Below are 25,935 nucleotides of genomic sequence, written 5' to 3'. Positions count from 1 at the left end.
CTGTTGCCCAGGCTGGAGTGCAGTGGCGCAATCTCAGCTCACTGCAAGCTCCACCTGCCGGGTTCACGCCATTCTCCCGCCTCAGCCTCCCGAGTAGCTGGGACTACAGGCGCCCACCACCACGCCCAGCTAATTTTTTTGTATTTTTAGTAGAGACAGGGTTTCACCTTGTTAGCCAGGATGGTCTCTATCTCCTGACCTCGTGATCCGCCCGTCTCAGCCTCCCAAAGTGCTGGGATTACAGGCATGAGCCACCATGCCCGGCTAGGGAGTCAAGTATTATACATGAATTTTTGACTGCCATGGGGGTAGGCAATCCTAACTCTTGCATTGTTCAAGGGTCAACTACATTCAGTAAACTACTGTGAAATCATTAAAATGATGCTGAGCTTTATTTGACAAGGAGCAACATTAACAAGTGTTTTAGAGCACTGGTTTTATTTATGTGAAGGTTTCTACACACAGATGCCTGAAGAGATGGTTAGAAGGATATTTTCTTTGGATTTTGAGAATTTAGGTGACTTTCATTTTGGTACCTTTTAGTTGTTTTCATTTTTATTTAAACAGTGAGCCTGTTTGTGCAAAAGTAAAATAGCCTATTCTCAAAGAAGGTGCTTGGCTTACCTGACATCCCATTGCTGCCCGGAAGAATGTCATGACTGAAGTGGACATGGGGGCAGCTCCAGTGACAATTACACGAACCCTTCCGCCCAGGCTGTCCTGTTCAGTGGAAACAAAAGACATACTAAAACCTATTCTCTTGGCTTCAATTTCCTCCACTGTAGAGTGGGTATAATAGCCTGTGCAGCGTTGTTATGAGAATTAAACTGACATCAATTCTCACGTTAATTTACAAAGCACTTAGAATACAGTCTGGATTGTAGAAAAGCACTTAAAATGTTAGCTATTATTGTCATCACTATCCATAGCTGGGACCAGAAGCCATATATTTCTCAAATAATTTGTATTCTTCAGCCCCTCAAATTGCTTATAATCTCAACAGACCACCAAAGAAAATAAGAGAGAGTGCTAGAACCTAAATAAAACTTTTTTTTTTTTTTTTGAGATAGAGTCTGGCCCTACTGCCCAGGCTGGAGTGCAGTGGTGCTATCTCAGTTCACTGCAACCTCCACCTCCTGGGTTCAAGCGATTATCCTGCCTCAGCCTCCCATGTAGCTGGGATTACAGGCACCCACCACCACGCCCGGCTAATTTTTGTATTTTTAGTAGAGACTGGGTTTCACCATGTTGGTCAGGCTGGTCTTGAATGCCTGACCTCAGGTGATCTACCCACCTAGGCCTCCCAAAGTGCTGGGATTACAGGTGTGAGCCACCACACTCAGCCTGCTTTTTTTTTTTTTTTTAAACCTACTCCCTTTAGTAGTAAAGTGGTACAAGAAAGATCTCAAAAGGCAGTGGACACAAAGTCTGAAAGGATCTCTAGTTAAAGTGACGCTCAAGCAGCAGAGGAAAAGCAAGGTCTAAGGAGTCAGAAGGCAGCCCAGGTATTTGCCTGCTTCAGTCCAGGACCTGCCCAACCTACCTGGATCTTTGCAAAGATGAGCTTGTCCCAGAAACTATCATGCCTGATGATACCCTTTTGAAGCTCTTTGAATTTACTGGAAACAGCCAGCTTCAACAAGAACTTCTTCAAGGGTGTCTTGGCCTCATTTTGTACCTGCAGAGTGATAGCTCCTTTTAGTTGGAAACCTATTGGAGATACTCATCAAAGCCATTAGTGAGCAAGAAACAGTGTGTTCTAGCTTTATAAGGAAGTGGTCTCACAGTCTCACAGTCATGAATTGGATTGCTGAATAATGATGAGCCCAGAGAATTATGGCCATGCTCAGAAAGAAGTGAACTTAATGCAGAGCTCCAGTCCTCCCACTTCCTGCCCCAATTTTTAGTCCTTGGGAAACAACTTGACAACTGAGATAAAGAGGGACTGCCTAAAAAGTCACCTGGGGGGTACTAGATTTAAAACAAACAAACAAACAAAAAACACAGCTCAATGGGCACCACTTCTAGGGCTTTTGATTTAGTAGGTCAAAGGGCAGCCTACGAATCTGATTTTTTTTTTTTTTTTTTTTTTTTTGAGACAGAGTCTCGCTCTGTCGCCCAGGCTGGAGTGCAGTGGCGCCATCTCGGCTCACTGCAAGCTCCACCTCCCAGGTTCACGCCATTCTCCTGCCTCAGCCTCCTGAGTAGCTGGGACTACAGGCACCCGCCACCACGCCCAGCTAGCTTTTTGTATTTTTAGTAGAGACAGGGTTTCACCATGTTAGCCAGGATGGTCTCAATCTCCTGACCTCGTGATCTGCCCGCCTTGGCCTCCCAAAGTGCTGGGATTACAGGCGTGAGCCACCACGCCCGGCCCAGGAATCTGATTTTTTAAAACAAGTATCATGTCTTCCTCCCTCTCCCTCTGTAATGCTTATATAACTGAACTTGGAGAATTCCCACCCTTCCCTATAAACAAGGTGTCTTTAGCCACACCATACAAACCCCAACAGAGTTTCCTACCTTCCTACTAAAATGATTTCTTCCCTTTGGGCTTAATTCTGACACCATTTTTCCAGCTCGCATGATTTCCCTGGTCTCCCTGACTCTGACCTCACTGTGACCCTACATTCCATCAACCACACTCCTGCCAAAGGAGAGCTTCCCCAAGTACAGCTCAAAGTGACCCCTTATTTCCAAAATTTAGTCCTGAACTCTTATCTGGCTTTCAAGATTCCACCCTACTGGAAGTCAGATTCAAGGCAATTGAAGTCTTTTTTCTTGTTCAAAATTTGAAGAATCCCTCTCCATCCATCTTCCATGTTTATAACCCCATTTTTGGGCCTCCAGCCAAGCAGGGGTGATAATTTTCATCTTCTAATGTAAATTGTGCTCTAGGACATAAGCATCTTCTTATGCCTATAACATTATCATTGTACCAGTATGTCATAATCTGTCTCCAAGATCCATGCTCAAATGCTTCCTGCATCATGCCATTCTTAGAATCTCCCTCAACTAAAAGAGATTTATCTTTCTTCAACATTCACAAGACTCACCCTCCCTCAACAAGTCACTGACAAAGAGCTAGTATTAGAGACGTGTGCTAATAAAGTCCTTCATTTTAAAAATACATTCCAGGGAGATCGAGACCATCCTGGCTAACACGGTGAAAACCCGTCTCTACTAAAAATACAAAAAATTAGCCGGTCGTGGTGGTGGGCACCTGTAGTCCCAGCTACTCAGGAGGCTGAGGCAGGAGAATGGCACGAACCCGGGAGGTGGAGCTTGCAGTGAGCCGAGATCGTGCCACTGCACTCCAGCCTGGGCGACAGAGCGAGACTCCGTCTCAAAAACAAAAACAAAACAAAAAAAAAATACATTCCAGAAGTGAACTGTGTATTAGGTATTATATTATACAATAACTATCTCTGAAAAATAAAAAATGTACAACAACAACAACATATGAACAAAAACCATAACAACCACCAAATCTACTAATTGCGTAGCATGGTAAGAAACTGCTGGAATTGTTATCAGTTCTGCTAGAACACTGCCTGCCCTGTCACCAGAGCCCATTTAGCATCTGCTGAGAGTCCTAAGAGTGAAAGGAAGAGTTAAAATCTTGGAGGTGGTTGGGGAGGTGGGGGAGGGTTCCAAAGCATGTGAAGAATGGCCATGCATTACTTCCTCACGGATCCCAGCCCGAGGAATCATCACATACTATATTGCCTGGGTTCAAATAGCTTCAACGGCTCCCTGAAGCAATCAGACACTCTAAGAATTGGGTGAGAAATATACAAGATGAGGTTGAGACATCTTGTGCCAGAAACCAAGGAAGCTATCAGAGGCTACAGGGGTATTGTCAAAAGGACACATGAGCAACTTGATGAGGTTTCCCAACTGCCACGATGGGGCAGTTAGAAGATCAAGAAGAAAGACTAACAATTTGGGAGGCTGAGGTAGGGTGATCACTTGAGGTCAGGAGTTCGAGACCAGCCTGGCCAATATGGTGAAACCCCATCTCTACTAAAAAATATTAAAAAATTAGCTGGGTGTGGTAGTGCACGCCTATAATCCCAGCTCTCAGGAGGCTGAGGCAAGAGAATCACTTGAACCCAGGAGGCGGAGGTTGCAGTGAGCTGAGATCGTGCCATTGCACTCCAGCCTGGGTGACAGAGTGGGACTCTGTCTCAAAAAAAAAAAAAAAAAAAAAGAATCACTGAAATTAAAAAAAAATCTGAAAATTATGAATTCCTAAAAATACAAAGAGAAAATCTCATTGGCTACTTTTGAAGATTGCTGAGGCACAAATCCATTCTTCTGAAGATTGATAAATAAAAAGAATCAAATATTCACCAGGTTTTATGGAAGAATCTCAGCTAATGAATGCAAGAGGAAGACAGAATTACAGAAATCACCATTCTGTAATTTCTAATGAAAAATAGAGCAGTGCTAGTCATCAACATGACTAGCCGACATGACTACTGAAACATGACTACTGAAAGCTTAATTCTGCCCTACCCCTTATTAGATGTGACTCTGGGCAGGTTATTTAACCTCTGAGGCTCATTTTCCTCATCATAAGTTAGAAATAATAGGTGTAAGTATGATTTACTATGATTTTGTGAGGATTCAATGAGAGGATGCATCTGAAATGTATATCATGGGGCCTGGCACTTCAGAAAGGGAACAACTTCCCAAGATGTCTGCTGAACCCTGAGGGGCCCCCCAAGTCTCTTAGTCAAGCTTTCTTCAGATCAGGTCCAAGTCATCTTATCCAAGGAAAAGGGGATTGCACTTATTTATTTTTCATTTTTTAATTTTATTTTTATTTATTTTTTGAGATGGAGTCTTGCTCTGTTGCCCAGGCTGGAGTGCAGTGGTGTGATCTTGGCTCACTGCAACCTCCGCCTCCCGGGTTCAAGCAATTCTCCTGCCTCAGTCTCCCAAGTAGCTGAGATCCCAGGTGCTCCCCACCAGTCCAGCTAATTTTTGTATTTTTAGTAGATACAGGGTTTCACCATGTTGGCCAGGTTGGTCTCGAACTCCTGACCTCAGGCAATCTGCCTGCCTTGGCCTCCCAAAGTGCTGAGATCACAGAAGTGAGCCACCACACCTGGCGGGGATTGTATTTACACACGGCTTTACGTAGATACTTGTAGAGGGTGGAGGTAGAGGTGGAGTAAATCTCATAGTAGTACAGAGTTCCTTCGTGCAGGCCCAAGTCACAGACAGTCCCTTCAGCTGAAAGTTAGTACCTTATCGTAGATCCTGTTAAGGAGTCGAGGCACCGCGGGAAACAATGTGGGCTTCAAAGTCTTCATGTCGTCAGCCAGCAACCGAATATCCCCTTGGAAGAATCCAACTCTGGCTCCACAGCTGTACACAACAGCCTGAAAACAAAACCAAATTATAGAGCTTAGAGGCAAACAACCCCTTTAGTGGGGACCTGTCTTGGAAGGAATTCAGGAGGTGGGCTGAGGCAAACAACCCCTTCAGTGGGGACCTGTCTTGGAAGGAATTTGGGAAGTGGGCTGAGGCACACAGACACTTTTCTTGCACAGCACCTCCCTCCCAATTCAGGACTCTGAGAACCTTCCCCCAAGAAAGGATGGACATTTATTTCTGTTGTGGTGGCATGACAGATAAGACAGATATTGAGACTGTGTGGTCCCCCAGACTCCACCACAGGTCTGTGTGACAGTCTAAGATAATCATCCTTTGTAAGACGCAATTCATTATGTGGCACTAAGAAAGCACTGCCAATTAAAGCAGAACCTGCCTTCAATCGTAAGACCATCACAATTTCATAAATTATGTTAAAATATTTTTTAAGATTTCTTAGAATCAATTTTTTTATGAATCAGATATCATTACTTTAGCCCAAAGAACTGAATCTTGCATTTTGGCATTTTAGGCATCAACCATGAGCTTGTTGAAGAGGCATTTGGGGGTAGCGAGGAGCAGAGAGAGAACTTTCCAACCACACTACCTGCGTTTTTGAAAGGCTGACATGGCTCTTGGTTCTCAAATCAGCCTCAAAATAGCCTGAAAAGCCTGGAGTCCACTCACAGAAGAGCAGACCTCCTCCGGTATGCACCATGCTGACAGCACCACCTTACACACTCAGGTGTGCAAAAACCGGCGCGGGGGACATCTCACACCTTATGTAGATCAAATGCTCCTTCCCTGATCCTCTGTAGGGAACTTCCTTTTCTCTAATCCTAGATCTTTTCAAAAATTCTAACCAAAATAAAATTTAAAAAGAAGACAATGTCTTGTGTCAGCTCAGAATTAAGGGCAGATAGATAGTAAGCTCCTAGCTGTGATGTCACTAGACTCACACACCCCCATGAAGGCAGGAGCAAGTACTATCCTCCCTGGACACATGCAGACTTAGCAGAGGAAGACTCTGCAGGAAATGAGGGGCCATGCCATGATTAGGGCTCCCATGAGCCAACTCCTTGCCTGCACCTCTCACACCGGAGAAAGAACAGTAAATACTGTGTAGCTGCCTTTGGAATAAACATGTGATAGCAAGTCAGGACCCCCTTGCCACATACTGCTAGGAACACAGAACACTCACCTGTACAATCCTCTCAAACATATGAGCCAGAGGGAGGTAGGATATGGCCACATCATCAGGAGTGGGCTCATAAGCATGCTATGTAGGCCAGGGAAGTAAGAGGAGGCAACATGAGATTAATGCCAACTTTCAATTCCAATGGAGATTTTAAAACTACCTCCTCCCAGGACTACCACAGACAGCTGTATAGGCGGTACACTGTGTAGATCTGAGATGCCTTGAACTGCATATAGTGTAGAAATTTGCAGTGATCCTAAAAGACCAACGCTTGAAAATGTACAGTCCTCTAAACAAAGAACACGCTGGTGTTTGTCCACACTCCAGCCTTTAACGTGTGTGTGTGTGTGTGTGTATGTGTGTGTGTGTGTCTGCCTGCTCTAACCTCAAAAATAAAAATCTTATGACAGATTCACATTTTAATGAGAGCCTCTTTTTCAACTGACCACTGACCTCCACACATTTGAGAAAGGCAGCAGCATTTGAAACAATATTTTGATGGGTTATCATGGCTCCTTTGGGGTCACCTGTAGGAAATAAGAGGTGGAGAGAAAGATACTTTATGTAGCTAATAGGTAGCCTTTGGCCTTGAAAGAAACTAGATTCAATTGGTTTTATTCCAGAAGGCCAAGAGCATTTCCTGTCACTGTGTCTTTTTGTGGATGGTATATGCCTCTGTTTAGGAATAATTAATGCCCCCGGAGATTCTACTGCTGAATGCATCGTTGGCCTTCTACTACTATGCAGAGCACAGCCATGATTTCAGATAGAAGCACAGCTGCAAAGAAAAATTCAAGTTAACCCTCCTTGTCCCTCTGCCCCACATCTCATGCTGTTTATATGTTTGGAATTCCAGATCTACCAATATTATATAGTGATATGGTTATAAACCTTATAAACTGGGCATACTAGAAAGAATATAACTGTAGACCATGATGGACCACATTAAAAACTATTAAGCATTCTAACAGATGGGTGGATGTAGGGTGGGGTTGAAGCCCTTTATGGAGAACTATCACTGAGTTATCTTGATTGAATGAAACCATTCCAGCGGTGTCAAATCAAGAGAGTGGTGGGTTGGTGGGGGCGGGGGAAAGGACTTTCTGACATCATCTTTAAGACCCCTGAAATCTATTGAATATAAACACCTCCCAATATATTAAATAAAGTGTATTTACTTATGTTTATGTTTTTCCATTTGGGAATTCACACTTAGAAGCCTTAGGCTGTGAGCCCCTAAGTATAGGGCTCTTTAGAGGGAGTATTTACCAGCCTACCAGTGGCCAAGAATTGAAGCCATGTTCTTGGCTGACCAGGGGTCTAAGGTTCAGTTTCATGGGCACAGACCTGTGGTCCCACTGGTGAAGCAGATGACGCTCAGGTCTTCTGGGCTAGGAGGCTGGAGGAGGAAGCACAAGGGCTTATTCCACCATGAACTTTGAGAGTTGACTATGGCAAGGCTCAAATTCAGGCAGAAGAAAACTTACCACAGGTTTTCTGAAGTGCTCTTTGCCTAGGTTCTATGTGAATGGAAAACCAAGAAAGAAAGACATTAGTTGAGATGGACAGACTGTGATAAATGTGGCCCTCTCCCTCCCTTTCCCGTGAGAACATCTCTATGGGAATATAAGCAAAATTCCAACCTGGATCAGGACCAGAAGCCAACATTCAGGAACAATGGAAGCCCCAGGGAAGAGCATAAGATTTCTCTAGAAAATCATCTACCTATAGAGGGTAGATTGCATGTTCAAACTTCCCATTGTACTCTTAAGTTTCAGTCATCTAGGGCCCTAACTAAATCTTTTTTGAAAGAAATGAATAGCTAACATTTTCAGAGCTTATTACATATCCATCACTGTCCTGAGAAATCTACATATATGAATTAAGCTAACTCTTTACAAGACCTCTGTGAGGTAGTGATTATTTTTATCACCATTTTACGGACCGAGAGAAGGGAGATGAGATTGCCCAAGGTTGCCTAACAGATGTGGAGCTGGCATGCGAACCCAAGCAGCCTGGCTCCAGGAGCCACATCCTTTAACTATTACTAAACCCCTATTTATATATTATCCACTTAGAAGTCCATACAGCTGGCCACAGAACTTTGTCCTCTCCTGGCATGAGTTTCAAAGTTGTCTTGTGGAAATTATTCTCAGAGCTTCACAGCATGAGTCTAATCTACTCCTCACGTGCCACCCCTGGAGAACAAGAACACTGTCCTCTTGGGAAGGTATCTTGCAAGTTGCCCAAGGTGTTGGACAAGCATTGGAGCTGCAAGCTAAATTTCAGATCCATACCTCAGCATCATATAGGGATAAGATCTCAATTCCACTCTTCTCCCCTCTTTGCTTCAGGTCATCATCAAAGGGGTCCATAAGGATGATCACCTTCAGGCTCGGGGTGAAGCCTTTCTCTACATTCCCTATCAGCACCAATGCCTTTTGGGGTGTGTCACAGATCACCATGGCGATATCAGCTGGAAGCCAAAATAGAACCAGAGGTCATTCCCTCTCTCTGCTAAGTACCTGATTGCCTTGCAAGAAGGAAGAGGTTTTAAAAGTTTTCAAAGCTAACAGGTGTCCAAAGGAGATTACACCTGCAAATCAGATTTATAATGTACAACCTGAAACATTCCATTGATGATAAATGAACTTAACTGAAACAGAAGCACATGTTCTTGAACTGTGCCAGCAGATTTTACAGTTTCTAGAGGAACCACAGAATTCCTTCTGCTTAAGAAGTCATTCAGATAACCTAAACAGGTTACTGAGGTGTGGTTCTATCACTGTTTTATTTGAGGAGGATAGTAGGGAATAGAAGAAAAAGAAGGGGGCAAATAGGATTTTTAGCTGACAAGTATTTTACAATTCTAAATTTTAGCATTTGCTTTGATGCATGTTTAAAGTTTCAAATGATGTTTACTGTGCAAATGGACTTACTCACTTAATCTACTAGTCCCATGACAGAAGGTAACATGTTGGATATGTGAAAGGGCTGTTACTTGCCCATCAAATTTGGACTTGTTTCTCTAACAACGACAATTATTTTCTGCAGACTCACCATGGACATTGGTACATGCTGGTTAACTGTATTGACTTGGATTTACAAAGGTAGGAAATTAAATCTGTAGCTTTACTGTGATTAAGTCAATTAAGCTCACTCTCTGGGCTTTTATCTAGTGTGTTCAGAGTGAGTAGTCTTGTCTCTATATCATCATACCATGTCACCCTGACGCATGTCATTGAAACTTCTTTCTGTGTGTATCTCTGCTTCATGGGCTTTTTGTAGCTTTCCTGAAAATTATATCCTAAGTACTACAAAACTAGAAAGACTTGAACATTTTCCGACCACAGCATTTCAAGTTTGCTTAAACAAACAAACAAATAAACAAAAAAGCAGAAATTGAAGAAATACTCAGCATTGAGAAAGAATCAAGTTGTAATGTAACAGCAAAATTTTACCCTTGTTGACAATATGTACGATGGCTTCTGGTCCCAAGGTGTCATACAGAGGTACAGCTACCATAGAGTACGTGTAACAAGCCAATTCGGAGATGATCCACTGTACAGAGAGAAGTTCAAGTAAGGACTGGAGGGCACACTGAAGAGTACCAGTTCAGTCATTCAGCCAACAAATGCTGTCTGGTTTTTTGTCTTGTTTTGTTTTGCTTTTTTTTTTTTTTTTGAGACAGTGCCTCACTCTGCTGCCCAGGCTGGAGTGCAGTGGTGTGATCATAGCTCACTGCAGCCTCAACCTTCCAGGATCAAGCAATCCTCCCACCTCAGCCTCCTGAGTAGCTGGAACTACAGGCACACATCACTATGTCAAGCTAATTTTTGTATTTTTTGTAGAGACGGGATTTCACCATGTTTCCCATTCTGGCATAAAACTCCTAGGCTCAACCTATCTGCCTACCTGGGCCTCCCAAAGTGCTGGGATTACTTATTTGTTGACTTTTATGTAAAAAAAAAAATCACTGTGGGGCCATAGGGACAGTTGTAAATACTGCTATAAAGTACAATTAAATAAGGGAGATAAGAAAGGCACAGGGACAACTGCAATACAAAGGTAGACCAGAATACAAAGGCAGAGTGTGATAAGTTCCATCCGTAAGAGGTATGGAAGGCATTAGGAGCCTTAGGGTGTCAGAGATCACTTTCAAGGGTGAGGAAAGCTATTTGGGACTGCTTGTGGGAAACTGATGAAAACTGGGCAGGGCTTTAGAGGACTAGTAGGATTTGGTTATGGAGGTAGAGGTAGATTAAAAGAAGGAAGTGAATGAACAAAGAATAGTGATATGGTTTGGCTGTGTCCCCATCCAGATCTCATCTTGAATTGTAGTTCCCATAATCCCCATGTGTCGTGGGAGGAACCCAGTGGGAGGTAATTGAATCATGGGGGTGGTTACCCTCATACTGTTTGACGTGGTTTAGCTGCGTACCCATTCAAATCTCAACTTGAGGCCGGGTGCAGTGGTTCATGCCTGTAATCCCAGCACTTTGGGAGGCTGAGATGGGAAGATCACGAGGTCAAGAGATTGAGACCATCCTGGCCAACATGGTGAAATCCTGTCTCTACTAAAAATACAAAAATTAGCTGGGCGTGGTGGCATGTGCCTGTAATCCCAGCTACTCGGGAGGCTGAGGCAGAAGAATTGCTTGAACCCGGGAGGTGGAGGTTGCAGTGAGCTGAGATGGCACCACTGTACTCCAGCCTGGCAACAGAGTGAAACTCCGTCTCACAAAAAATAAATAAATAAATAAATAAAATAAAATCTCAACTTGAATTGTATCTCCCAGAATTCCCATGTGTTGTGGGAGGGACCCAGGGGGAGGTAATTCAATCATGGGTGCTGGTCTTTCCTGTGCTATTCTCATGATAGTAAATAAGTCCCATGAGATCTGATGGGTTTACCAGGGGTTTCCACTTTTTGCTTCTTCCTCATTTTCTCTTGCTGCCACGATGTAAGAAGTGCCTTTTGCCTCCTACCATGATTCTGAGGCCTCACCAGCCATGTGGAACTGTAAGTCCAATTAAACCTCCTCTTCTTCCAGGTCTTAGGTATGTCTTTATCAGCAGCATAAAAACAGACTAATACATTGTTCTCGTGACAGTGAGTGAGTTCTCATGTGATCTGATTTCATAAGGGGCTTTCCACCCCCTTTGCTCTCATTCTTTTCTTTCCTGCCACCATGTGAAGAAGGACATGTTTGCTTTCCCTTCCGCCATGATTGTAAGTTTCTTGAGGCCTCCCCAGCACTGCAGAACTGTGAGTCAATTAAACCTCTTTCCTTTATAAATTACCCAGTCTCAGGTATTTCTTCGTAACAGTGTGATAACGAACTAATACAGACAGCATAACATCATTGTGTGGATACACATTAGCAAGCTTGAAGACTACAGGAAATAAAACTGGAAAGGTAGGTAGGAATCTGCTAGTGATGGGCCTTAAATATCAATGTAGATGTTATGGACTGAATCCTGTCTCCCTGTCACCCCTCCTCCGGCCCAACCCAAATTCATGTTGAAACCCTAATCCCCAATGTGACAGTATATGAGATAGGGCTTTTAAATAAGTAATTAAGGTTAAATGAAGTTTTAAGTGTGGGGTCCTAATCCCTTCCTTCTATGAAGAAGAACGGTCATGAGGGATACATGTGCACAGAGAAAAGGCCGTGTGAAGACAAAATGAAAAAGTGGCTGTCTACAAGTCAAGGAGAGAGGCCTCGGGAGAAGCTAAACCTGCTGACACTCTGACCTTGGATTCCTAGACTCCAGAACTGTGAGAAAATAAATTTCTGTTGTTTAAGCCACATGGTCTGTGTATTAGATTATGGCAGTTCTAGCAGACTAATATACAGTTGCTCCTTGAACACATGGGTTTGAACTGTAAGGGTCTGCTTGTGGATTTTTTTTTTCAATAAAAGTTACATTGAGGGTGCCTATATTTCCTGCCTCTCTTTCCATCTCCTCTACCTCTTCCACCTCTGCCAGGTCTGAGACAGCAAGACCAACCTCTCTTCTCCCTCCTCCTCAACCCACTCAAGGTAAAGATGACTCAGATGAAGACCTTTATAATGATCCACTTCCACCTAATGAATAGTATATACATTTTCTCTTCCTTATCATTTTCTTAATGACATTTTTGTTTCTCTAGCTTACTATATTGTAAGAAAGCAGTATACAATACATATAACATACAAAATATGTGTTAATCAACTACCTATATTATCATAAAGGAAGGCTATTAGTAGTTAAGTTTTGGGGGGGTTATCTGTGGATTTTTTTACTGAATAGGCAGTGGTCCTAACCCCCATGTTGTTCAAGGATTAACTGTATCAGATTAGGTGTTAAGTTCCTAAACTAGAGTCAAGGGAACCTTTTTCTATTGAGGCTGACTGTGACAAGAATGGAGTATGCAGATTCACCTAAAAATGTTGGTGAATATTTTTATATTTGTATTAGCATTAGAAATGGGACTTACAGTTTGTGAACTTTCAACAAGATCCACATAGAACTTAACTCCCCCAAAACTTAACTACTAATGGCTTCTGTCGACTGGAAGCCTTGCTGATAACACAGACAGTTAACACAGATTTTGTATGTTATATGTATCATATGCTGCATTTCTAGGGAGCGTTTGAAGCATAAAAAGACTTCCTCTGGGGATAATGTGCCTAATGACTTAACCAAAACTTGGAGATAAGCTTGATTCTGTCATCTTACTGTCTAAAATCTGCTTCCAACTCACTGTGGAAAGATAGCTATGGCCAGACTCAGTAGCAATGAATGGCTGAATTTACTAGTTCAATTACAAATTGCAAGTTTCAGTTCTAATACTAATACATACTTTCCACAATATCTTCAAGATCTTATTTGGCGGTCCCTCCTAGCTTCCTTATTTTCCTCATGTAACAATCAGACTGACTTCAAAAAACACATGATAGGCTGAGAAAAAAGAGAAGTCCAAACACCTAGGTGAGAGTGCCAGACACTTAACCAGAAATTAAATAGGTTCTGAGTGGTAACTCTTTCAAGTAGAATAAGCATTAGAAAATTTTAACAATAGCTTTGGTAAGGCATTAACAAGTGTTGGAATGCTGGACGGGGAATAGCATTTGAAGTTTTTAAACTTAACCCTGACTCATTTCCTTTAGTTAACTTCAACATAGTTACCTCTGGCCTATTCTGAGCAAAGATGCCGACAAACTGGTCTGGTGATGATTTATAACCTTTATGCAAGAGACAGGAACCCAGGTACTCTGCTCTATCAGACACCTACAAAAAAGAGAGATGGGGTGAGAGAGAGAGAGAAGAGGTCAAGACCAAAAACTGACCAATATCGTATCCTGTAGTTCAGAATACTATGTTAGAAAGAATCTGTCTAAAAACATGGACTCAACTTACCTGTTTGTAAGATAGCCATCTGTAGGGCTGGTTTGGTTTTCTATATCCCAAGCAGGGCCCATTGTCTAAAAACATAATATTAAAAGAAAATCAACTCCAGTTGCAAATTCTCTGGACCAAGGAAGCTAAAAGGAGATTAAGAAGGGGCAAGACACAAAGGGTAAGTCCAACAAGGATTTGAGCTTCTATTATATGTCCAGGAAATTCAAAGTCAGAAAGCACTGAGTCCTCAAAAATGAAGAGTCCTATAAACTATAGTTGAAACATTTAGGAAATGCTACACAAAACAGGAGTGGTTCAGTGTTGAATATGTAACCTCCATGATAATGTAGACATTCAGAGAAAGCCATCCATATGGGGTTAGCCCACAAAACATGACCAAGTGAAAGCCTACAAGTAAACACAAACAGCCTGTATTGAACAATCTTGGATTGAACTTCCCTACAATAAAAACTATGCTCATAAAGATATAAAAAAGTTAAAATATGAATCATCAATCTCATCACCCAAATACCATTATTAACACTGATATATTATCCCATGGCCCTTTTGCATAGTTTGACAGTTATGTTCATTCCCCATGTATAGAATGAATATAATACTTTGATACCTTGCTTCCTCTCCCAATCTGACCTAAGTATTTTCATGTCATTATCTCTTCTCTGTAGTGGTTTCAATGGCCAGTCGATGAAGGGTTCTATTATAGTTGACTTTATTTCATCGTGGGTATTTAGATTGTTTTCAAGCTTGACACTTTAAATTACGCTAAATATTTTCAAATTGATCCTTTTAAATTTAGACCATTTCCTTAGAATAGAGCCCCTAAAATATAATAAGGGAAGGGAATAGGGGCTCAGAACAGTCAGGCTTTTGATACCTAGACCACACTGCTTACTGGAGCAGATGTGACAATTCACTTTTCTCCTATCATATCAAGTTTTAACACACTCTCCTAGACTGCTAAATAGTGTCTTTAAAAACTTTCTTCAAGGCTGGGCGCAGTGGCTCATGCCTGTAATCCCAGCACTTTGGGAGGCCAAGGCGGGCAGATCACCTGAGGTTGGGAGTTCAAGACCAGCCTGCCCAACATGGAGAAACCCCGTCTCTACTAAAAATACAAAATTAGCTGGGTGCAGCAGCACATGCCTGTAATTCCAGCTACTGGGGAGGCTGAGGCAGGAGAATTGCTTCACCCGGGAGGTGGAAGTTGCGATGAGTTGAGATCGTGCCATTGCACTCCAGCCTGGGCAACAAGAGCAAAACTCAGTCTCAAAACAAAACAAAACGAAAATATTTTCAGGTTTGATAGGTTTGAAAAGTTATTACTATAGTCTAAGTTTCTTTAACAGCTAGTAAAGTGGGACCTTTTTCCTTGTTAGGTTTTATTTACTTTCATGACTTGTTTGTTCATGTACTTTGCCCATTTGTATGAGAGTATCTTCTAAGATATCAAGGCTTGTAAAAAAACACGGAAACACACACAGAGGTGTGCACACACTCATGCATTTGTCTTCAGTATTTTTCCAATTTACATCTTGCATTTGACAATAAAAGAATTAAACTTCTGAATATCTAAACTACTCAGCCTTACTTAAAATAAGTTTGGGAACATCCATTTACAAGAATAAATGGCATCTCAGCTTTTAAAGCTAAGTCAAGGAAGTAGTGGTATTAGGCTGAAGAACACACTAAGTGGCTTAGAAGCCCTCACGTCTAAGCCAGAAGGAGGTTGTTATAAGTAGACAAGTAGAAGGGCAGGAAAATGTATAGAGAGGATCTAGTCAAACTGCTAAGAGGAATTCAGGTCTTGCCAAAAGGAATTATTCAGAAAGAGAGTTACTAGGAATTCGGAGGCAAGTAAGTGGACTTCTAGACTAAGAGATGGGAAAAAAAGGAAGGAAAGCAGGGAAGAGATACCCACTCTGATTAAAGAGATATAAAAATGAATGAGGAGGCTGTGTACAGAAAACATTAGTACTTTTGCTTCCAATTGAAACAGCTGCATGAAAGCCTTAGAAGTAACGTCTCAGACTAACTTTCCCTGAAGCATGGCTTTGTCAGAGTGGAAGCCACTTGCTCCCCCAGGGTGTGTGTCTTGGGTGGTCTAACATTGAGATCATTTGTACTAACATTAATCACTAATGATAGCTACCATTTATTAAATGCTTACTCCATGCCAGGCACATTAACTCATCTTCCCAGCTATTATCATTTGTATTGTACTAAGAATTATGAAGGACTGAGACAGCTTGGTTAAGCTCACTCAGCAAGTGGTAGAGCTGATGAATGTCTAAGAAAGTATACTGGGGGCTGGGCACAGTGGCTCATGCCTGTAATCCCAGCAGTTTGGGAGGCAGAGGTTGGCAGATCACTTGAGCTCAAGAGTTCAAGACCAGCCTGGGCAACATGGCAAAACTCCATCTCTATAAAAAATATAAAAAAATTAGCTATGGGTGGTGGCATGAGCCTGTAGTCCCAGCTATTTGGGAGACTGAGGTGGAAGAATGGCTTGAGCCCAGGAGGTGGAGGTTGCAGTGAGCTTAGATCGTGCCACTGCACTCCAGCCTGGGCAACAGAGCCAGACCCTGAAGAAAGAAAGACAGAAGGAGAGAGAGAGAGAGAGAGAGAAAGAAAGAGAAGGTGGGAGGAAGGAAAGAAGGAAAGAAAGAAAGAAAAGGAAAGAAAGAAAGAAGGAAAGAAAGAAAAAGAAAGAAAGAAAGGAAGGAAGGAAGGAAGAAAGAAAGAAAGAAAGAAAGAAAGAAAGAAAGAAAGAAAGAAAGAAAGAAAGAGAAAGAAAGAAAAAGAAAGAAAGAAAGGAGAGAGAGAGTTCCAGGAAGGAATTATACTGCATCTTATCACCTCTTGATTGATAAAAATGCTAGCAGAGGCTGGTGTCTAAGGAATAAGTCAAATAATTAGCCCAAAGGGGCAACAACTCAGGTCTCATTAAACTCTGTGACTTGATCAGCTTCAGCCTACTAGCCAAATGCCTGACCAGGCAACAGCCTAGCCTTTCATTAACTTAGTCAACTCAGACCTGTTCTGTTCTAAGCTGTGGCCATCTACAAAGAGCCCATCCATTAACAAATTCTTGGCAAAGTTGTCCCTCTAAACTAAGTAGAATTCCAACTCTGGTATACAGAATCCCCTGGAAGTGTTGCTAAAAATACAAAGCTTCCTGAGGATTTTTAGGTTTCATTATCTGGAAATTTAATTCAGTGAACCTAAGGTGTAACCAGAAGATATATATTTTAAACAGTAGCCCCAAGTGAGTCTCAAGATAAACAAACTACTAGCTAAGGCTAATGTATGCAACCCCAGATAGGACCAGAAGTGTCATTTTTCTTTTTTTATTTTTTTGAGATGGAGTGTCCCTCTGTTACCCAGGCTGAAGTGCAGTGGCGCGATCTCGGCTCACTGCAACCTCCACTTCCCAGGTTCAAGCGATTCTCCTGCCTCAGCCTCCCAAGTGGCTGGGATTACAGGCACCACCACCATGCCTGGCTATCATTTTTCTATGTAAGTAGCCACACCAGATTTCTCACGCCTGCTTCCATGAGAAGCTATTTCAACGGTATTGGTTTAGGATTTAGTATTTAAAAAAAAATCCTAAATTATATCTCTCATGTGCCACATATCACTTGCTAAATGGCTTGTTTTAGTCACAATAACAACACATCCTCAATAAAGAAAACTTCTAAAAACAGAAAATCACTAGAGCTGAGCATAGTGGCCCACTCCTGTAATCCCAGTACTTTGGGAGGCTGGAGTCGGGGAGGGGGTTATCTCTTGAAGTCAGTTTGAGACTAGCTTGGACAACATAGTGAGACCTTGTCTCTACAAAAAATTAAAAAAATTAACCAGGTGTAGGCCGGGCATGGTGGCTCACACCTGTAATCCCAGCACTTTGGGAGGTCAAGGTGGGTGGATCACCAGGTCAGGAGTTTAGGACCAGCCTGGCCAAGATGGTGAAACCCCATCTCTACTAAAAATACAAAAATCAGCCAAGCATGGTGGCAGGTGCCTGTAATCCCAGCTACTCGGGAGGCTGAGGCAGAGAATTGCTTGAACCTGGGAGGCAGAGGTTGCCGTGAGCCAAGATTGCACCACTGCACTCCAGCCTGGGCAACAGAGCGAGACTCCATCTCAAAAAAAAAAAAAAAAAAAAAGAAAAGAAAAAAAGGAAAAAAAAATTAGCCAGGTGTGGCAGCACATGCCTGTAGTCCTAGCTACTTGGGAAGCTGAGGTGAGAGGATTGCTTGAGTCCAAGAATTTAAAGTTGTAGTGAGCTATATTCTATCACACCACTGCACTCTAGCCTGGGTGACAGAGCAAGATCCCGTCTCTGAAAAAAAAGGAAAAAACCCCAAAGGAAATTATACTGTATTAGACATATACTATCTTAAATTGCCAGAGAAGTAAAGAAACTGATGTTTGGTTTGTTTTTATTTGTTATTTGCATGAAGTCTATAAGTAAATGCTGATTTGGAGCCAGATATACTAAGTACAGGCCCCATCGGACTCTTCAGATAGATGTTTTCTTGACAATAAATCTTTCATTGTCTGGAGGAGTGACTACTTTTATAAAACACTTACGAGCTAACCTAAAATAGAACAACCAAGTCAAACAGACACACTTAGATTTTCCTATCAGCTCTGACATTTTCTAGTTCTATGACCTTGGTAATGGTCTTGAAGCTGTGAGTCTGGGTCCTCATCTTTAAAAATGGCAGTGATAGTAACCACTCTCTATGGTTTAGGGAAGATGAAGTAATATATGTGCAGTAGCTATTGTATAGTTAACACTTGACAGGAGTTGGCTATGAATATGCTCTTAGTCTTAGTTAACATGCAGAAGTCAAGGGACGGATAAAAGTTACACGGCCAGAATGTCACCCAAAAGACCAAAGGCACAGAAAGAGCTATAAGCCAGCAGCTTTTAAAAGTAAACGTGTGTGTGCCAGGCATTATGTTCAATGATATAAGATATAAATATTAAGGCTTGATGTATTCCAAATGAACGTGTCAAAGCCCATTTGGTAGTCTCTAAAAAAGTCCAAAGAAGTGCTAACTTTGGTCAGTAGGATGGTATCAGAGTTAAGGACAAGGTAAGACATCAGGAATCCTGGACTGCTAGTCCTGGCTCAGATTGTCTATCTGTAAATGCAGGGAATTACATTAATGAAAGGCATGTTTCTAAACAAATATGAGGTACTAGTGAGTTAAAGATACTGTCCTATATTATTATCTCCTTGACCCTTTAACAACAGTTTTGGCAGGGACGTTCTTCTTGTGTTGAGAAACAGATTCAGAGAAGCAAAGTGGTCTGCACAAGGTTATGAAGCTGGAAATGGAAGAACCAGGTTTCAAACCTAAGTCCGTCTGACACTGGTTCCAACGCCCATCCTAATACTATGTTCTAATGTTGCCTCTATTTTGCATGTTGCGATTCTACTTGGATCACTGCATCTAAATAGCTGGGGTTTTAGAAGTGAGACAGAGAAAGAGAGATGGGCCACAGACCTCACCTTGTCTTCTTCAGGCAAGGACAGACCACCAGGCTTACCAGACACAGCGAGTCCTCTTTGGAAAACCTCATACATAGTCTTGGCATCTGAGAAGCAGCAACTTGTTAGGTCATTGTTCTTCTGGGAAACCCCCTTCCGTGCTCCTCCCTAAGACACAAGACCAAGTTTAGGCCAAGTTCAAGTCTCCCCTCACTCTTTCCAAAACCTTTATGAATTGAATTAAAGAGACCATAAATGCCGATTTTGAGGTCACGGGAATGTTCTCTTCGCTAGTCAATTGATTTTTAAAAATCCCCAAATCATAGTATGTTTACATCGTAGACATTTTAGAAAATAGGAAAGTGGCTGGGCTCGGTGGCTCACGCCTGTAATCCCAGCACTTTGGGAGGCTGAGGCGGGTGGATCACCTGAGGTCAGGAGTTCGAGACCAGCCTGACCAACAGGATGAAACCCCGTCTCTACTAAAAATACAAAAATTAGCCAGGCATGGCGGCAGATGCCTGTAGTCCCAGCTACTTGGGAGGTTGAGACAGGAGAATGGCTTGAACCGGGGAGGCAGAGGTTGCAGTGAGGCAAGATCGCGCCACTGCACTCCAGCCTGGGCAACGGAGTGAGACTCCGTCTCAGAAAAAAAAAAAAGAAAATACAAAAGTGTAATAAAGGCTTAAGAAAAGTGGATCTGTGGCCGGGCGCGGTGGCTCACGCCTGTAATCCCAGCACTTTGGGAGGCCGAGGCGGGCGGATCACGAGGTCAGGAGATCGAGACCATCCCGGCTAAAACGGTGAAACCCCGTCTCTACTAAAAATACAAAAAATTAGCCGGGCGTAGTGGCGGGCGCCTGTAGTCCCAGCTACTTGGGAGGCTGAGGCAGGAGAATGGCGTGAACCCGGGAGGCGGAGCTTGCAGTGAGCCGAGATTGCGCCACTGCACTCCAGCCTGGGCGACAGAGCGAGACTCCGTCTCAAAAAAAAAAAAAAAAAAAAAAAAAAAAAAAAAAAAAAAAAAGAAAAGTGGATCTGTAATCCCACCCAGAGATTGCCACTGTTATGTTTTTGGTAACCCTCCTGGCATCCATGTGTGTATATATATGGAGGAGAGATGATATGTATAGTTTTATATCTTTTTTATCTTATCGAGTTTAAACTTCTACTGAATGCATACTATGTGTTCTAGGTACTCTGTACATACTGTAGATGTGAGTTAAGACAAAATAGCTGCCCTTAAGCACCTCACACACTACGGTTGTTGGAGTATGGGTAGGTCATAAGGAAAAAATGCAAATATAATACTATGATGTACATGCTATAATGAATTTGGAGGAAATGGATTAGTGGTGGGGATGAAGCAACCAGTTCTGTATTAAGCAGAAAGATTACAGAGAAGAAATGGTATTTCAATACAGACTTTGAAGACAAGTAGGCATTTGGCAAAAGATATGATTTGGGTAGGGTAAAGGAGAAAAAAGAAAATTCCAGAGTGGAGGAACAGCCTGAGCAAAGGCATGGAGGTAAGAAAACGCAGCGCAGAGTTGGGTGGGCAGCTAGAGGACGGCGTATTCAAGAAAAAGGGGGTTAGCTGGCTGGGCGCTGTGGCTCACGCCTGTAATTTCAGCACTTTGAGAGGCCAAGGCAGGTGGATCATCTGAGGTCAGGAGTTCGAGACCAACCTGGCCAACATGGTGAAACCCTCTCTCTATTAAAAATACAAAAATTAGCTGGGTGTGGTGGCAGGCACCTGTAATCCCAGCTACTCGAGAGGCTGAGGCAGGAGAATCGCTTGAACCTGGGAAGCGGAGGTTGCAGTGAGCCAAGATCACACCATTTGCACTCCAACCTGGGGGACAAGAGCGAGACTTCCTCTAAAAAAAAAAAAAAAAAGAAAAAGGGAGTAGCTAGGAATCTATCTGAAATGTCAGCTGGATCTACAGGATCAGGGCCCTGGGATGGACCCTGGAGCTACAACAGGTGCTGCGGGTGTGGTCCAGTGGTCCAACTCTCATGAAGTTTCGTGTAGAGAAGAACAGGCAACAATTAAATAAGCATTCAACAATGTAAATTAGTATCCAAAGTGAGAGCTATAAAAGTACAGGAAAACACACGAGGATGTAACAAGAGATCTGACTTAGTCTAGGACATCAGGGAAAATTTACATGGGCCATCACGTTAAGACAGAAAATAGCAAAAATAAAGTTCCTTGTCTAGTGAAGGAAGACAGGGTCTTGCTGTCTGTTTAAGTGCCTAGTCAAGGAAGAAGGAAGAATCCAAGATGTTTCAGACTATTAACTTTGGCAACTGGGTAAGAAGAGATACATTTAACTGAAATAGAATAGGAAAGGAGGGGTGTGTGTGTGTGTGTGTGTGAAGGGAGAAAACATGCATGAAAAGACATGGAGAGCTTAAGTTACTTAAGCATCACTGAGGTCAGAATAGAAAATCAGATTTCAGTGTCACAGACTTAGGCACATTTTCAAGTCATAAAAGAGGAGGTATTTTCTTAGCTGTGAGAATTTAGATGAGGGTTTGGTAGACTATAATCTGCAGGCTGAATCTGGCCTACCACCTGCCTTTGTAAGTAAACTTTTATCGGAACACAGTCATGCTCATTTGTTTACATGTTGTCTGGTACTGTACTCTTATTCTACAACAGCAGCATTGAGTCGTTGCAAAAGAGCCCATGTGGTCTGCAAATTCTATGCCATTTACTGCCTGGCCTTTACAGCATATGTTTGCCAACCCCTGCTGCAGAGGAATCAAGAGATGCTGAGAATAAAACCCTATTATGAAGAGAGGAAAGAACAAAGAAAGATTGTTTTGAAATTAGGAAGAAATCTCATGGAATGATATTATAAAAGGCGAAAGGAGGAGTTTCAAGAAAGAAGTCTCAAGTCAATTGAGAGGAAAGCTGAAAGAGAAGTCACTGAATTTAGAAGTTAGGTTATGAGTGATTCAGAGCACTTTGGAGGAGATGGTAGTGGTAAAAGGTCAGATCTCAGTGGGTTGAAGTTCAGAAGAGGAAATCGATAAGCAAACTACTCTCAAAGAACTCTGGTGGGAAAGGAAAGGCATGAGAGGTGGTGGTGGAATGCAGCAGGACGGGAAGATGTCAGTGAAGACATTGAACATGCAGATGTACCCACAGGTGGGAGAGGAGCTGGAGAGTAGAGGTAGCTTGGAGTAAGATTCCTTCTATCCTGGAAAGAGAAGACTGTAAAAACAACAGAAGAAATTAGCCTTGTGAAGGAACAGGAATGCTTTTTTCTCTGAAGAGGGTAGAAGATGAAAACAGATGAAGATATTCATGGGCGCAGAAGGAAGGATAAACGAAGAGAACATTCTTGGAACTTTCAATTTGCTCATAGATACAGGAAGCTGGGGAATTTGCTGAAAGTCGGGGGAGTGAGCCTAATTCAATTTTTATAGTGTTAAGAAAAATAAATTTAACTCAAACTAGAATTTAACTGGAGGAAATGGCTTAATTGTTCTCAGACACTGGGTATCTCAATGAAAATGTCATCCTGTCCCCAAAGTTCTGACACTATTATTTAGATCATGGGTTGTCAAACTACTTCTGCAAAGGGCTAGACAGCAAACACTTTAGGCTTTGTGGGACATGCCTCATCTTTCCCATTTTTGTTTTTAACTCATCCCTTAAAAAAGGTAAAAACTATTCTTTACTTGCCAGATGCACAAAAAAAGATGGATTTTGTTCATGGCTATGTTTGCCAACTCCAATCTAGATTACTGACATCATACAACTGTCCTTATTACAAAAGAAAATGTGCCAGTAATAGAAGTTTAAATTTGTATATTGCCTGTTGATTGGTAACATGAAAGCTTTACTTTCCCATGCTGCACCCAATCCCCTTCATGAGCTATCCCTAGGTTTGGAGTTACAGTTTGAGTTTGAGGAAGGTTGACAAACTAAAAGGATGACTGGTAAATTACCTCAATTCCCACAGACTGATTGTTCAGGTCAAGAAGAGGTAAGACGGGTTGAGGTCTGGTGATCAGCCACAAGAAGATGGCAGCTCCAAATGTCAGGATGCAGATCAACGCCGGGGTCGGAAGTGGGGAAAACAAAAAGTTAAAGATAAAAAGCATCTTTGTGAACAGCAGCAGGAAATTCAGACCTTAAAAAAAAAACAGGGGAAAGAAAATTTAGAGGAAATGGCCATATTTTTGTACTCAATAGCTCTATGTTTTCAGAAGGACACACACACACACATACACACACACACGCGCGCACGCCTTCAAACCCTCAAACACAGTTGTACCTCTCTAGTGGCAGAATTTCCCCCAGTGTTTACTTAGCACTGTTGAAAATAATAGAACACATTCTCCACCTCTGCTACTTGACTGTCCTCACACAGAGCAGGGAGGATCAAAGGAAACAAGTTAATCATTTCCCAAACAATTTTGAGAAATGACTGCCTTTTTAATGTTGGTGCACAAAGCCTGGAAGAAGGCAGCCTGCTAGACCCAACATAATCTGATGGTCAGAGGACAGTACCTCCTCTGCCCAGGCAGACCAAGGGTCAGGAAGGACTCTTCCAGTTGGATTCCCCCGTATAAACCAAACAGAAGAGATCTGTCAAGGTGATGCCACAGGTTTTAGAAATTAACCATTTTGTATGAAGGATATTTCCTGCTGGCTAGACATGTCTTGCTCATTGCTTTATTTTTTGGAGCATCGGAAGGATTTCTGAGATCAACAGCATTACAACTTGCTATGCCCAACATCCTTTCACCTAGGGAGCCCAGAGGAATCATTTTACTGTGAGGCAAACTGTCAGTCAGGTACACAGAAACAGTGCTGGAGAATGGATGACACGTGGTGAGCATTGAAGAGTTAGGTCAAGAAGAGATCTCAAGAAACTAAAAGTAACAAAGGCTTCCCCTAAACCAGCCTTTCTTATAGTTTTCAGCCAAGTTCAGCTTCAAACTACTCTAATAGGAGAGACTAACTTTAGGGTAGGTCCTAGGAACATACCCTTGGCTGAAGCCATCTTTTCCTGGAAAGTTGCTGCCTCACAGCTTTCAAACTGGATTAGGAGAATATAATAGCAGCAAACACATGAGCACTCACTGTATGCCAGGCACAGGGCTGGGCTTTTTGCATGGTTTGTTTAATTTAGGCCAAACAACACTATAAAGTAGTATTTCACAGAAGAGTAAATGGACGCTTTGGGATAAAGTGACTTGTCCAAATTCACCCATCATTCCCTATTGCTACTTCTCTATGAAAACCTACAAAACGACAATTCATTTTTTCTTATAGGTTCTAGTCACAGAATTCAAGGGGATTGAATTTGTCTAGCACCTTCCAGGTGACAGCAAATGAAGTTCAGAATTTGCATTCTTCAAAGTTTACTGCAATGCCTGATGAAACAATAGCTCAGAGATGAGGCCACACATGCCCACTGAAAATCAAAAGAACAAAGCAAGCTCAATTAAAAGTTGGATCAGATCAAGATCACAGTTGCCCTTAGAGCTTTGGACAGCTGCCATTAGCTGCCACCTGGAACCATCTTTAACAATGGAAACACACTTCACTCTAGTCTAAGAAAGGCCACAAGGTGCAGGAATTTTGTGTGGGGGCAGGAACAGTCACAAGAAACCCTGGGCCACTCTTACTATCTTTCTGCCTCTCGATTAGTTATTACCTGATTTTGGAGAGTCCCTTTCCATTTTAGAGGAGAAAACTGAACTTCCAGAAACTGGGATAATAGTCCTCAACTCCTTGGTTCTTTCCATATTGCATTTAGGGGGAGAAAAATAAGTAAAAACAAAAATAAAAGCCAGGTCCCATGGGTGCTAGGTTACATAAAAACAAGGGTGCTATTGTGACCACCTGGCAGGATTCTGAGAGTTGGGATTTTTGGAATTCAGCCTTACTTGGACTTGTATGATGAGGTACTCCAGGAGGCAAAAGCATTCAAAAACTAGCCATAAAGCCCAGGCAGAGAAGGGAGGACTGCCTCAGGGAAGACTGTGAAATTGAAAAAGCAGGTGGCAGTACCAAAGGGGAGGAGAAGCCCGTGCCTGTTTTGTGCTCTCCCATCCAGTCTGCCACCAGCCACTCCCTTCAGGCTGGGATATTGTGACAAGACTGGATATATATATATATATATTTGAGACACGGTCTTACTCTGTTGCCCAGGCTGGAGTGCAGTGGCACAACTCTGGCTCACTGCAGCCTCAACCTCGTGGGCTCAAGTGAACCTCCCACCTCAGGCTCCTGAATAACTGGGACTACAGGTGTGTGCCACCACACCCAGTTAATTCTTTAATTTTTTTTTTTTTTTTTGAGACAGAATCTCGCTCTGTCACCCAGGCTGGAGTGCAGTGGTACAATCTCGACTCACTGCAAGCTCCACCTCCCGGGTTCACGCCATTCTCCTGCCTCAGCCTCCCAAG

At 42.5% G+C, this 25,935-nt stretch overlaps 1 protein-coding gene across 4 annotated transcripts in view; it reads right to left on the bottom strand.

Annotated features, from left to right (window-relative positions):
• The window catches only part of ACSL5 (acyl-CoA synthetase long chain family member 5), a 54,261-nt gene that overhangs the window by 9,811 nt on the left and 18,515 nt on the right, over window positions 1-25,935 (bottom strand). For all 4 annotated transcript variants that reach the window (NM_203379.2, NM_203380.2, NM_016234.4 and 1 more), the window contains exons 2-14: window positions 23,464-23,648; window positions 19,557-19,665; window positions 13,991-14,055; window positions 13,760-13,861; window positions 10,045-10,144; window positions 8,881-9,059; window positions 8,071-8,103; window positions 7,931-7,982; window positions 7,037-7,110; window positions 6,587-6,664; window positions 5,259-5,393; window positions 1,544-1,678; window positions 625-720 (exon numbers count right to left, since the gene is read on the bottom strand). In NM_203379.2, coding sequence (NP_976313.1) covers window positions 625-720; window positions 1,544-1,678; window positions 5,259-5,393; window positions 6,587-6,664; window positions 7,037-7,110; window positions 7,931-7,982; window positions 8,071-8,103; window positions 8,881-9,059; window positions 10,045-10,144; window positions 13,760-13,861; window positions 13,991-14,055; window positions 19,557-19,665; window positions 23,464-23,619 — 1,314 coding nt within the window. In that variant the 5' untranslated portion in view covers window positions 23,620-23,648. The remainder of the gene's footprint in view (window positions 1-624; window positions 721-1,543; window positions 1,679-5,258; window positions 5,394-6,586; window positions 6,665-7,036; window positions 7,111-7,930; window positions 7,983-8,070; window positions 8,104-8,880; window positions 9,060-10,044; window positions 10,145-13,759; window positions 13,862-13,990; window positions 14,056-19,556; window positions 19,666-23,463; window positions 23,649-25,935) is intronic.

This window comes from Homo sapiens, chromosome 10, assembly GCF_000001405.40.
Source record: "Homo sapiens chromosome 10, GRCh38.p14 Primary Assembly".
NCBI lineage: Eukaryota > Metazoa > Chordata > Mammalia > Primates > Hominidae > Homo > Homo sapiens.
This window is presented reverse-complemented; position numbering and strand designations above follow the sequence as displayed.